At 37.6% G+C, this 14,876-nt stretch overlaps 1 long non-coding RNA gene across 1 annotated transcript in view, besides 1 other annotated feature; it reads right to left on the reverse strand.

Annotated features, from left to right (window-relative positions):
• Positions 1 to 14,876, reverse strand: part of CLCA4-AS1 (CLCA4 antisense RNA 1) — a 133,313-nt gene that overhangs the window by 25,268 nt on the left and 93,169 nt on the right. The gene's annotated exons all lie outside the window — the stretch shown is intronic.
• Positions 13,408 to 13,580: a silencer, noted in NCBI's record as "fragment chr1:87075539-87075711 (GRCh37/hg19 assembly coordinates)". NCBI's record gives its function as "represses an EF-1alpha promoter that drives an FKBP-Casp9 reporter gene in an ReSE screen in K562 erythroleukemia cells {active_cell/tissue: K562}" and the evidence as "EXISTENCE:reporter gene assay evidence [ECO:0000049][PMID:32094911]".

Below are 14,876 nucleotides of genomic sequence, written 5' to 3' on the forward strand. Positions count from 1 at the left end.
TTATCTGAGGTTAAGTGCTGTTTTCTTATGTTACATAAACTGCTGATTTACAGCGTGTGAGATGAATACGTAATTGACTATTCCTGTACCTGCCTGTTTTCCCTTGTATCCTGTAGATTACTAGACCCTCCCTCCTTCCCCTTCAGCCAGCTTTTCCCTTCTGAATATTGAAGCCCTCAAAATTATCTCTGGAGAAAGGCACAGACCAAAGATTGTTTCCTTGATTCCGTGCTTTCTTCTTCCAGCCATGTCCTTAACCTTGGCCAAATAAACCTTTAAATTGATTGAGATCTGTCTTAGATACCTTTTGGTTTACCGCAAGCTTTAATGACTAAGGAAAGAAAATGATCACTCCACATCTGTGTGATGTGGTGGACTGGGAAGGGCAGGTGGAGAGCAGTCATGGGACGGTTTTCCCTGAAGTAATGGAAACCTATAAAAGATGCTAAAAGCAGGAACCTCAGTAGAGGCCTTGCAGAATCACTGCACTAGGGCAATGAGTGTGGGTTAAGGAAATAAGAAAGGCCCTGTGAAGAGGTAGGCGTGGCTGAGCCCCAAGGAATATGGCAGTGCTCAGCAGAATAATGCTTCTTTTGATCTTGACTTCATATCTTTAAATCAAGAGCTAGAAAAATATTATGAAAGAGTCTCTGCATAAGAGAACAGCACCAATTGTTAGGCTAGGCTGGGAAGCTGCAAGTTCTTGTGTGGGTGTAAAACTGTAGAAGACACAACCCAGGGAAATTCCTGAGCTTCCAGTAATTCACCCCTTTGCCACCTCCCACCATTCTTGTGGGTCACAATTGCTCCCCTTGCTTCATTTCCAACTCTAACATGCAGCTTTTTGTTGTTATTGTTGTTTTGAGAGAGTGTAACTCTGTTGCCTAGGCTGGAGTGCAGTGGAATCATCTTAGCTCTCTGCAACCTCCGCTCCTGTGTTTAAGCAATTCTCATGCCTCAGCCTCCCAAATAGCTGGGACTACAGGCTTACACCACCACAGCTGGCTAATTTTTGTATTTTCAGTAGGGACAGGCTTTTGCCATGTTGACCAGGTTGATCTTGAACTCCTAGCCTCAGGAAATCCACCCACCTTGGTCTCCCAAACTGCTGGGATTGCGGGTGGGAGCCACCACGCCCAGGCTAACAGGCAGCATTAATTGGTGCTTTAGCATCTTGACTCCCTTGCTAGAGTAAACAACTATCTCTGGACATGCCAGTCATAGAACTCTTAACACCTTGGCCATAGAGATTGGTTCAGAGCGCAAGCACGTGGCCTAAGCCAATGTAACCATAGACCCTCACCAGATATTTTTAAATGAAATGGGAGACATATGCACTTTTTCTCAGGCTTGGAATATGTGAGTCTGGAAACATCAGTAGTCAAAGTTCCTGCCTTATGGAGAAAGTCAGTCTAAGAGATCAACACTGACATGAGGAGAAAAACAAAAGCAGAAACGGAGAGTGATTCCTGCTCTGTGGTTCCCCAAGTCAAATATTACCCTTCTTTCTAAAATGGTAATAAGCGTGGTGTATTCAAGGAACTGAAGCCAAGTGTGTAAGAAGAGAGTGAAAGTAGATGAGGTTGGAGATCTCAGAAATAATCAAATTTTTTGTAAGTTAATAGATCTCCATAATGGCTGAGGATAAAAATCACCTGGAAGATTTCTAAAAACATCACTATAGACTTTCATTTATAGTAATGGTAGATTTTGTAATTGAAAACAAACTTTGCCCTTCTATTCAACATTCTACTAGAGATTCCAATAGTGTAATAAAATAAGAAGAAAAAAAAAGCCATCCAGATTGGAAAGAAGTGTTACTTTGTCTTTGTTTGCAAATGACATGATCATCTATGTAAAAAAAAAAATTAAATAAATTCAACAGATTTTGCAAAACAGCTACTAAAACTAATATGTGAGTTTACCAAGGTTGAATATAAAACAGCATTCTGCAGAAGTTACTCAATTGTATTTCTATCCCCAAGCATAGAACTGGAAACTGAATTCTTTTTAAACATAACATTTATAATAACGTCAACAATATGAAATGTTTTGGGATAATATGACAAGTGTTTAAAAATTACACACTAAAAAGTACAAAACACTGCTAAGTTAAATATATAAATTAATGGAGAGATATATCAGGTTTATGAACCAGAAGACTTAATAACTTTTTTGGACAATCCTGCGACAGAATCAATAATGTAAAGATAGTAATTGTGCCAAAATTGATCCGTAAATTTGACAAAATCCCAATCAAAACTCCAGCAGGTTTTTTGATAGAATGTGAGAGGACTATTATGAACTTACGGGAAATTCAAAAGACCTAGAATGACAACAACAACAACAAATCTGAAAAAGAAGAACAGAGTTGAAGGACTTACACTAGCTGACTTCAAGGCTTCCTGTAAAACTACGGTAGTCAAGATAATATGGTATTTGCAAGAGAATAGACACATAGATCAGTGAAACAGAATAGAGCCTAGAAATAGACCCACAGAAATAGGGTTAACTGATTTTTGATGAAAGTTCAAAGGGAATTCAAAGGAAAAAGTATCACTTCATTGAACAGTGCTGGAAAAATTGGACATCCTTATCCAAAAAAAGAAATAATAACATTGTTGACACATATATAACACCTCATACAAAAATTAACTCAAAATAAGGAAAGACCTAAATACAAAATATAGATCTAAATACAAAATATTAAACTATGTTTCTAGGAGAAAAAAGTATAAGAAAATCTCTATATGTTTTCCATTTAAATGAGTTTTGAGAAATGACAACAAAAACATAATCCGTAAAAGAAAAATCTGAAACTTAACTTTATCAAAAATTTAAAACTTTGTTCTGTGAAAGATTTTGTTAAAAAAAACATGAAAAGACAAGCTTCAAAGGAAAATTTGCAAATCATATATCCAATTAAAAACTTGTAACTCTGGCCGGGTGAGGTGGCTGACGCCTGTAATCCCAACACTTTGGGAGGCCGAGGCAGGTGCATCACAAGGTCAACATGGTGAAACCCCATCTCAACTAAAAAAATACAAAAATTAGCTGGGTGTGGTGGCATGCTCCTGTAGTCCCAGCTGCTCGGGAGGCTGAGGCAGTAGAATTGCTTGAACTTGGGAGGTGGAGGTTGCAGTGAGCCGAGTTCGTGCCACTGTACTCCAGCCTGGTGAGAGAGCGAAACTCCGTCTCAGAAAAAAAAAAAAAAAAAAAAGACTTGTAACTCTAATAAAAATATAAACAACCCAGTGAAAAAAAAATAAACAAAAAGTCCGAACAGATCTTCAGCAAAGATACACAGTTAACAAAAATAAGCATATGAAAAGATGGGCTTCACCTGCAACAATTATTATGATGGGTTTTTTGTTTGTATATTGTTGTTGTTTGAGACAAGGTCTCACTCTGTCACCCAGACTGGAGTGCAGTGGTGCCATCATGGCTCACTGTAACCTCAACCTCCCAGACTCAAGCGATCCTCCCACCTCAGCCTCCTGGGTAGCTGAGACTAAAGGTATGCACCACCACAGATGGCTAATTTTTTGCATTTTTAGTAGAGATGGGGTTTCATCATGTTGCACAGGCTGGTCTCGAACTCCTGGGCTCAAGAAATTCACCTGCCTCAGCCTCCCAAAGTGCTGGGATTACAGGTGTAAGCCATCACGCACAGCATACTATCGTGTGTTAATGGTGATTTCTATGTTCTCATTTCTTCATTTATTAATTGCAATGCTTTTAGTAGGATTTCTCCTTTATAGACCCAGAGATATTTATTTTATTCTCTTAGTTATAATCCAATATTTTCATTATTTATTTTAGTGAATAAGGTAAAATTCACCACATAACATAAAATTTACCATTTTAACCATTTTAAAGTACAAGCCCTTAACTTTATATGGGAAAGGCAGCCATGTGGTAAGATTTGAGATTAGAAAAACCCTGTTGCCAGAGTTAATTCAAAGTAATACAGTGTCTTAAAAAGCTACCATGAAAGATATATTATTTTCTGCTTTTAAAACTAATATTCTAGCTGGGCGCAGTGGCTCAAGCCTACAATCCCAGCACTTTGGAAGGCCAAGGCGGATGGATCATGTGAGGTCAGGAGCTCAAGACAGCCTGGCCAACATGGTAAAAACCCGTGTCTATAAAAAATACAAAAATTAGCCTTGCATGGTGGTGTGTCTGTAATGCCAGCTACTTGGGAGGTTGAGGAATGAGAATTGCTTGAACCTGGGAGGCGAAGTTTGCAGTGAGCAAAGATCCGCCCTCTGCACTCCAGCTTGGGTGACAGAGCAAGACTCCATCTCAGAATAATAATATAGTAATAGTAATAATAATATTCTAGAATGTAAATAATGCTATTCACTGGCTTTTGGTACATTCACAATGTTGTACAATCATCACTGCTATCTAATTCTAGAACATTTTCATCACTCCAGAAAAAATTTTCATACCCTTTATGCAGTTGCTTCCCATTTCCTCTACCCTCACCACAGCCCCTGATAAGTACTATCTGATTTCTGTCACCATGTATTTGCCTATCTTGATATTCCATATAAATGTAATCATACAATATGTGGGACTTTTCATCTAGTATACTTCATTTGGCATAATGTTTTCAAAGTTCATCTTCATTGTGGCATGTATCAGTACTTCATTCCTTTTTATGGCTGAATAATGTTCCACTGTAAGGATATACCTCATTTGTTAAATCCATTCATCAGTTTACAGACACCGGCCTGTTTCTACTTCTTCCATTTCTTCAGGATTATAGAATTTTTAGTTGACAGTTTTTTCTTTCATAACTTGAATATGTCATTCCACTGCCCTTGGGTCACCATGGTTTCTGATAAGAAATTAGCCATTAATCTTATTGAGAATCCCTTTGCACGACAAATCACTTCTCTCTTGCTGCTTTTTTTTCTTTGCATTTAGCTTTCAACACCTTGACTATAATGTGTCTCTACAAAGATATCTTTGAAGTTACCCTACTTGTGTTATGTTGAAGTTGTTTTCTTCTATGATTTTTTATTTTTAATTTTTGTGACTACAGAGTGGGTGTATATATTTATAGGGTACATGCAATCTTTCCACACAGGAATGAATGTGAAATAATCTCATCATGGAGAATAGGGTATCCATCCCCTGAAGCATTTGTCCTTTGTGTTACAAACAATCCAACTATACTAATTTAGTTATTTTAAAATGTACAATTAAATTATTATTGACTATAGATACACTGGTGTGCAACCAAATAGTACGTCTTATTTATTTTTGTAATTATTTTTTGTACCCATTAACCATCCCCACTGCCCCCTGCCCAACTATGCTTCCCAGCCTCTGGTAACCATTATTTTACTCTGTATCTCCATGAGTTCAACAGTTTTTATTTTGAGATCTCATGAATCAGTGATACATGAGATGTTTGTCTTTCTGTGCCTGGCTTATTTCACATAACACAATAATCTCCAGTTCATCTATGTTGTTGCAAATGACAGAATCTCATTTTTTTTATGGCTGAGTAGTACTCTATTGTGTATATGTACCACATTTTCTTTATCCATTCATCTGTTGATGAACAATTAGGTTGCTTCCAAATCTTAGCTATTGTGAACACTGCTACAATAAACATGGGAGTGCAGATATCATTTTGAAATACTGATTTTCTCATGCCTGTAATCCCAGCACTTTGGGAGGCTGAGGCAGGCAGATCACAAGGTCAGAAGATCGAGACCATCCTGGCTAACATGGTGAAACTCTGTCTCTACTAAAAATAAAAAAAAATTAGCCGGGCATGGTGGCGGGAGCCTGTAGTCCCAGCTACTTGGGAGGCTGAGGCAGGAGAATGGCGTGAACCCAGGAGGTGGAGCTTGTAGTGAGCCAAGATTGTGCCACTGCACTCCAGCCTGGGCGACAGAGCAAGATTCCATCTAAAAAAAAAAAATACTGATTTACTTTCTCTGGGGTCTATACCCAGCAGTGGGACTGCTGGATCATATGATACCTCTATTTTTAAGTTTCTTGAGGAATCTCCAAATTGTTCTCCATAATGACTGTACTAATTTACAATCCAACAGTATATGAGGGTTCTCCTTTCTCCACCTCCTCACTAGCTTTGATATTGGTTGTCTTTTGGATATAAGCCATTTTAACTGGGGTGAGAAGATAACTTATTGTAGTTTTGATTTGCATTTCTCTGATGATCAATGATGTTGAGCACCTATTCATGTGCCTGTTTGCCATTTGTATGTCTTCTTTTGAGAAATGTCTATTTAAATCTTTTGCCCATTTTTTGATTGGGTTATTAGATTTTTTTTTCTGTAGACTTGTTTGAGCTCCTTATACATTCTGGTTAGTCATCCCTTGTCAAATGGGTAGTTAGCAAATATTTTCTTCCATTTTGTGGGTTGTCTCTTCACTTTGTTGACTGTTTCCTTTGTTAGGCAGTCGCTTTTTAATGTGAGTAAACCTATTTGTTTATTTTTACTTTGGTTGCCTGTGCTCATGTGGTATTACTCAATAAATTTTTGCCCAGACCAATGTCCTGGAGAATTTCACCAAGTTTTTTTGTAGCAGTTTCATAGTTTGAGGTCTTAGATGTAAGTCTTTAATTCGTCTTGATTTGATTTTTGTATATGGCAATAGATAGGGGTCTGGTTTCATTATTCTGCATACAGATATCCAGTTTCCACAGTACCATTCATTGAAGAGACTGTCTTTTTCCAAGTGTATGTTCTTGGCACCTTTGTCAAAAATGAGTTAGTGAACTCATCTCACTAACTGTAAGTGTATGGATTTGTTTCTGAGTTCTCTATTTTATCCTATTGGTCTAGGTGTCTGTTTTTATGTCAGTACAATGCTGTTTTGGTTATTATAGCTCTTTAGTATAATCTGAAGTCATGTAATGTGACTCCTCCTGTTCTGTGCTTTTTGCTTAGGATAGCTTTGGCTATTCTGGGTCTTTTGTGGTTCCATATAAATTTTAGGATTGCTTTTTCTACTTCTGCGATGAATGTTATATTAGTCCATTCTCATGCTGCTAATAATGACATACCTGAGACTGGGTAATTTATAAAATAAAGAGGTTTAACGGACTCAAAGTTCAGTATGACCTCAAAAAACTTATAATGATGGTGGAAGGGGAAGCAAACACATCTTTCTTCATGAGACCTCAGGAAACTTACTATCACAGTGGAAGGGGAAGCAAACATGTCCTTCACATGGTGGCAGGAAGAAGTGCTGAGCAAAAGGGGGAAAAAGCCCTTTATAAAATCATCAGATCTTCTGAGAACTCACTCACTATCACAAGAACAGCAGCACAAGGGCAAGTGCCCCCATGATTCAATTATTACCTCCCACTGGGTCCCTCTCATGACATGTAGGGATTATGGAAACTACAATTCAAGATGTAATTTGGTTAGGGACACAGCCAAGCCATATCAAATGTCATTTTGATAGGGATTGCATTGAATTTGTAGATTGCTTTGATTAGTATGGACATTTTAGCAATGTTGATTCTTCCAATTCATAAACATGGAATATCTTTCCATTTTTTGATGTCCTCTTCAATTTCTTTCATCAGTGTTTTATAGTTTTCACTATAGAGGTCTTTTACTTTGGTTAAGTTGATTCCTAGGTATTTAATTTTATTTGTGGCTATTGTAAATGGAATTACTTTCTCAATTTCTTTTTCAGATTGTTTGCTGTTGGCAGATATAAATGTTACTAATTTTTGTATGTTGATTTTGTATTCTGCAACTTTACTGAATTTGTTTATCACTTCTAATAGTTTTCTGGTGGAGTCTTTAGGTTTTCCCAAATATAAGACCATATCATTTGCAAACAAGGATAATTTGAATTCATCCTTTCTAAATTGGAAGTTCTAAATTTCTTTGTCTTGTCTGATTGCTCTAGCTAGGACTTCTAGTACTATATTGAATAACAGTGGTGAAAGTAGGCACCTTATTGTGTTCCAGATCTTAGGGGAAAGGCTTTTAGTTTATCCCCATTCAGTATGATATTAACTGTGGGTCTCTCATTTATGGTTTTTTTATGCTGAGGTATGATCCTTCTATACTTAGTTTTTTGAGAGTTTTTATCATGAAGGAATGTTGAATTTTATCAAGTATTTTTAGCATCAATTGAAATGATCATATAGTTTTTAATCCTTCATTCATTGATATCATGTATCACATGGATTGATTTGCATATGTTGAAACATGCTTGCCTCCAAGGGACAAATTTCATTTAGTCATGATAAATGATCTTTCTAATGTACTGTTGAATCCAGTTTGCTAGTATTTTGTTGACAACTTTTGCATCAATATTTACCAGGGATATTGGCCTGTGCTTTTCTTTTTTGGATGCATCTTTGTCTGGCTTTGGTTCAGAGCCATAGAATAAGTTTGAAAGTATTCCCTCCTCCTCTATTTTTTGGGGATAGTTCGAGTAGGATTGGTATTAGTTCTTCTTTAAATGTTTGGTAGAATTCTGTCATGAAGCCATTGGGCCCCAGGCTTTACTTTGCTGGGAAACTTTTGATTGCAGCTTCAATCTCATTACTTGGTACTGGTCTGTTCAAGTTTTGGATTTGTTTCTGGTTCAGTCTTGGCAGGTTGTATGTGTCTAGGAATTTGTCCATTTCTTCTAGATTTTCCAACTTATTAGCATATAGTTGTTCAGAGTATTCACTAATGATGCTTTGAATTTCTGCAGTATCAGTTATGATGTCTCCTTTTTCATTTATGATTTTATTTATTTGGATCTTCTCTCTTTTTTTCTTAATCTGGCCTAAAGTTTGCCAATTTTGTTTAACTTTTCAAAAAACCAACTTTTGTTTCATTGATCTTTTGTATTGTTTTTGTCATTTCAAATTCATTTATTTCTGCTGTGATCGTCATAATTTTTTTATTCTACTAATTTTAGATTTGGTTTGTTCTTGCTTTTCTAATTCTTTAGGATGTATCATTAGATTGTCTATTTGAAGTTTTTTCTCTTTTTTTGATGTAGGCATTTATAGCTATAATCTTCCCTCTTAGTACTGTTTTTTCTATATCCAATAGGTTTTGGTATGTTGTGTTTTCATTACCATTTATTCCAGGAAATTTTTAAATTTTCATCTTAATTTCTTCCTTGATCCACTGGTCATTCAGGAGCATATTGTTTAATTTTCTTGTATTTGTATAGTTTTCAAAATTCCTCTTGATATTAATTTGTAGTTTTATTCCACTGTGGTCAAAGAAGATGCTTGATACTATTTCAATTTTTTAAAATGTTTTAAGACTTGTTTTGTGAAATAACACATGGTCTATTCTTGAGAAAAATCCATGTGTTAATGAGAAGAATGTGTATTCCGCAGCCATTGGATGAAGTGTTCTGTAACTATCTATTAGATATATTTGGCTTATAATGCAGATTATGTTTGATGTTTCTTTGCTGATTTGCTGTCTGGAAGATCTGTCCAATGTTGAAAGTGGGGTGTTGAAATCTCCAGCCATTATTGTATCAGGGCCTGTCTCTCTCCAACTCTAATAATATTTGCCTTGTGTATCTGGGTGCTTCAGTGTTGAGTGTTTATGTATTTAAATTTTTTATATTCTTTTGCTGAATTGATTCCTTTATTATTATACAGTTACCTTCTTTGTCTCTTGTTATAGTTTTTGTCTTGAAATCTATTTTGTCTGATACAAGTATAGCTACTCCTGCTCTTTTTTGGTTTCCATTGGCATAGAATATCTTTTTCCATCCCTTTATTTTTAGTCTATGTGTTTATTTATAGGTGCAGTGTGCTTCTTGTAAGCAACGGGTCAACAGTTCTGCTATAGGTTGGTGCAAAAGTAATTGCGGATTTTGCCATTACTTTTAGTGGCAAAAACCACAATTACTTTTGCACCAATCTAAATATTTTCATTTATTCAACCACTCTGTCATTTGATTGAAGTGTTTAGTCCATTTACATTTAGTGCTATATTGATAAGTGAAGACTTACTCCTGCCATTTTGTTATTGTTTTTTGGTCTCTTCCTTCTCTCTTTCCTTCCCATCTTTTTTTAGTAAAGGCAATTTTCTCTGGTGATATGATTTAGTTTCGTGCTTTTATTTTTTTGTGTATTCATTGTATGTTTTTTTGTTTGAGGTTACCATGAGGCTTGCAAATACTATATTATAATCTATTATTTTAAGCTGATAACAACTTAATACTTTGCATAAACAAACAAGCAAGCTAAAACTAATAAAAATTCTGCACACTAACTTCATCCCCTCAGTTTTTAATTTTTTGTTGTTTTTATTTATTTATTGTACTGTCTATGTCTTGAAAAGTTGTTTAGTTAGTTTTGAGTGATTCATTGTTTAGTCTTTCTACTTAGGATAAAGCAGTTCACACACCACAGTTACAGTGTTATAATATTCTGTGTTTTTCTGTGTACTTACTACTACCAGTGAGTTTTGAACCTTCAGGTGATTACTTATTACTCATTAATGTCCTTTTCTTTCTGATTGAAGTATTCCCTTAAGTTTTTCTTATAGGACAGGTCTGGTGTTGATCAAACCCCTCAGCTTTTGTCTGGGAAAATCTTTATTTCTCCTTCATGTTTGAAGGATATTTTCACTGGATTTACTATTCTAGGATAAAAGTTTTTTGCCTCAGCACTTCAAGTACATCATGCCACTCTCTCCTGGCCTGTAACATTTCCAATGAAAAGTCTGATGCCACATGTATTGGAGCTCCTTTGTATGTTACTTGTTTCTTTTCTCTTCTTCTTTTTAGAATCCTTTCTCTTTGATCATTGGGAGCTTAATTATTAAATGTCTTGAGGTAGTCTTCTTTGGTTTAAATCTGCTTGGTGTTCTATAACCTTCTCGTTATATTTGTGTTTGGATATTGATATCTTTCTCTAGGTTTGGTAAGTTCTCTGTTATCTTTTTGAATAAACTTTCTACCCCTATCTCTTTCTCTACCTCCTCTTTAGGGTCAATAATTCTTAGGTTTGCCCTCTTGAGGCTGTTTCTTATATCCCATAGGCATGCTTCCTTGTTTTTTATTCTTTTTTTCTTTTGTCTCTTCTAGCTGTGTATTTTCAAATAGCCTGTCTTCAGGCTCACTAATTCTTTCTTCTGCTTGATCAATTCTGCTATTAAGGCTCTTACACATTCTTTAGTATGCCAATTGCATTTTTCAACTCCAAAATTTTTTCTTGATCCTTTTTAATTATCTCAATCTCTTTGTTAAATTTATCTAATAGAATTCTGAACTTCTTTGAGCTTGAACTTCTTTGAGCTTCCTCAGCTATTTTGAATTCCCTGTCTGAAAGGTCACATATTTCTGTTTCTCCAGGATTGGTCCTTGGTGTTTTATTTAATTCATTTGATGAGGTCATGTTTTCCTGGATGGCCTTGATGTATATGGATTTTCTTCAGTTTCTGGTCATTGAATAATTTGTTATTTATTGTACTGTCCTCTATCTGGACTTGTTTGTACCCATCCTTCTTGGAAAGGATTTCCGTATATTCTAAAGAACTTGGGTGTTGTGATCTAAGCTGTATCACTTTAGAGGCGCCCCAAGCCCAGTTATGCTGTGGTTCTTGCAGACTCGTAGTGGTACTGCCTTGATGGTCTTGGACAAGATCTGGGAGAATTCTCTGGATTACAAGGTGGAGACTCTTGTTCTCTTCCCTTACTTTCTCCCAAACAAAGAAAGTCTCTCTCTCTGTTCTGAGCCACCTAAAACTTGGAGTGAGTGACAAGCACCCCTGTGGCCACCACCACTATGACTGCACTGGGTCAGACCCGAAGCCAGTACAGCACTGAATTTCACCCAGGGCCTGCTATAACCACTCCCTGGGAATTGTCTGTGTTTGCTCAAGGCCCTGGGGCTCTACAATCAGCAGATGGCAAAGCCACCCAGGTCTGTGTCTTTCCCTTCAAGGTAGTGAGTTCCCTCATGCCCTGGGTGGGTCCAGAGGTGCCATCCGGATGTCAGGGACTAGAGTCAAAAACCTTAGAAGTCTACCTGGTGTTCTACTATACTGCAGCTGAGCTGGCACTCAAACCAAAAGATGCACTTACTTCTGCTTTCCAAAGGCAGAGGAGCCTCACTCCCACAGCTACCACACCACAGGCCACAGGGAGTTCTGCCAGACTACCATTAATGTTCCCTTAAGACCCAAGGGCTCTTAAGTCAGCTTATGGTGAATTCTGCCTGGCCTGGGACTCATCCTTTAGGGAAATGGGCTCTCTTCTGGCCCAGGGCAGGTCCAGATATGCTGGCCAAGAGTCATGTACTAGAATTGAGGACTGCAAGAGCCCACTGATGCTCTACCCCACTGTGGCCATGCTGGTACCTAAGTGGCAGGATAAAGTCCCTTTTACTTTTCTCTCTGCTTTTCTCAAGCAAAAGGAGTTTTGCCCCGTAGCCACCACAGCTGGAAATTTCTGAATTTCACCTGAAGCCACAAGTCTCAGAGTTTCAGCAAAGGCCCACAGCATACTACCTCACTACTGGTTATTCAGGGCCCAAGGACTCTTAGAAGGTGACGGGTCCTGCCAGAACCAGATCCTTCCCTTCAAGGCAGCAAGTTTCCTCTGCCCCAGGGTGTGCCTAGAAATGTCTGGGAACTAGGGTCTGGAACAGGGGTATGACCAGTGCCTTATCTGCTGTGGCTGAGCTGGTATCCAAGAAGTAAGACAAAGTGCTCCCCACCCTTCCCTGTCCTCTCCTCAAGCAGAAGGAAGGGGTCTCATTTGGAGCTATGAGTGGTACAGCCTGGGGTTAGGAGAGGGGTGATGCCAGCACTCCCTTAGTTGCCCAAGCTGGTTTCTCAGTATGTCACATGCCCCCCCAGTCCACTGTCTCTGGGCCCAGTTCAGCACTAGAACTCACCTAAGAGTTGCAGTTCTTATGGCCTAGACTGCCTTTCAAGTTTACTCAGAGACTCAGAGTACTCCAGCCCTCAGTGGTGAGGTTTGTGGGAACTTAAGTTCCGATCTCTGGGACCTACAATTCCTCTCTGGCAAGGGCTGATTTTAATGCTCCCTTCATGGGTGGGTGTCAGCTGAGTTTGGTCCAGTTTTCCTTTATGCTCTATCAGGACAGAACTGAGTTCAATTCCTCACAATTGCTATGCTCTCCTTCCCCCAGTGCCCAGAGACACTCTCTGCACCCAGCCACCACAGCTAGGGTTGGGATGGGGGTGGCATCAGTGATTCAAGATTGCTTTTTCTATCTCTTCAGTGCCTCTTTCAGGGATAATATAGTTAAAGCCAGGTACTGTGAGAGTTCACCTGATTTTTTGTTCTTATGAGGTGTTTTTTCTGTGTACCTAATTGTTAAATTTGGCTGGGCATTGTGGCTCATCCCTAGAATCCCAGCACTTTGGAAGGCCAAGGCAGGTGGATCACCTGAGGTCAGGAGCTCGAGACCAGCCTGGCCAACATGGCAAAACCTGTCTTTACTAAAAATACAAAAATTAGCGCACTTGTACTCACAGCTATTCAAGAGGCTGAGGCAGGAGAAACACTTGAACCTGGAAGGCAGAGGCTTCAGTGAGCTGAGATCATGACACTGCACTCCAGCCTGGGCAACAAAGTGAGACTCTATCTCAAATTTAAAAAATAAATTGTTAAATTGGTGTCCTTGTGGCAGGGATGATGGGTGGAATCTTTTATTCCACTAGCTTGCTCCTGTTGAGTTTGTTGAGTGTGTGTAAATTCATGTCTTTCATCAAATTTGGGAACCAAACTTTGGAAAATCATTCAGGATTATCTACTGTAGTTGAACATATGCATACTCAACAACCCAGCAATTTCACTCTTAACAGTATATCCAAAAATAACTTTTGCATATATGCACTAAAATACTTATTTTAAAATGTGCGTAGCTGTGTTACTCATAAGAGCCAAAAACTAAATAGTTCTTATATCATAAACAACATAATAGATAAATAAATTCTGGTATAGCAATAACATTTACCATAGCTTCAAAAACATGAAATACTTAGAAACAAATAAATCAAAAACATATGTGCAAGACCTGTACATTGAACATTACAAAGCACTGCCAAAAGTAATTAAAGAATAAATGGAAATATATACCATGTTCATAGATTAAAAACTCAATTCATTTTCCCAAATTAATCTATCTATGCAGTGCAAAGTCAAAATTGAAGTAGCCTTTTTTATAGAAATAAAGTTGATTCTAAAATTTGTATGAAAGAAACTTAGCTAGTTTCTGCATCTTAAGCCTTTTCTGCATCTATTGAGATAATCATGTGGTTTTTGTCTTTGTTTCTGTTTATATGATGGATTACATTTATTGATTTGTATATGTTGAACCAGCCTTGCATCCCAGGGATGAAGCCAACTTGATCGTGGTGGATAAACTTTTTGATGTGCTGCTGGATTCGGTTTGCCAGTATTTTATTGAGGATTTTTGCATCGATATTCATCAGGGATGTTGGTCTAAAATTCTCTTTTTTTGTTGTGTCTCTGCCAGGCTTTGGTATCAGGACAATGCTGGCCTCATAAAATGAATTAGGGAGGATTCTCTCTTTTTCTATTCATTGGAATAGTTTCAGAAGGAATGGTACCAGCTCCTCTTTGTACCTCTAGTAGAATTCGGCTGTGAATTCATCCGGTCCTGGACTTTTTTTGATTGGTAGGCTATTAATTATTGCCTCAATTTCAAGACCTGTTATTGGTCTATTCAGAGATTCAACTTCTTCCTGGTTTAGTCTTGGGAGTGTGTATGTGTCCAGGAATTTATCCATTTCTTCTAGATTTTCTAGTTTATTTGCATAGAGGTGTTTATACTATTCTCTGATGGTAGTTTGTATTTCTGTGGGATCAGTGGTGATATCCCCTTTATCATTTTTTAT

This window comes from Homo sapiens, chromosome 1 (assembly GCF_000001405.40).
Source record: "Homo sapiens chromosome 1, GRCh38.p14 Primary Assembly".
Lineage (NCBI taxonomy): Eukaryota > Metazoa > Chordata > Mammalia > Primates > Hominidae > Homo > Homo sapiens.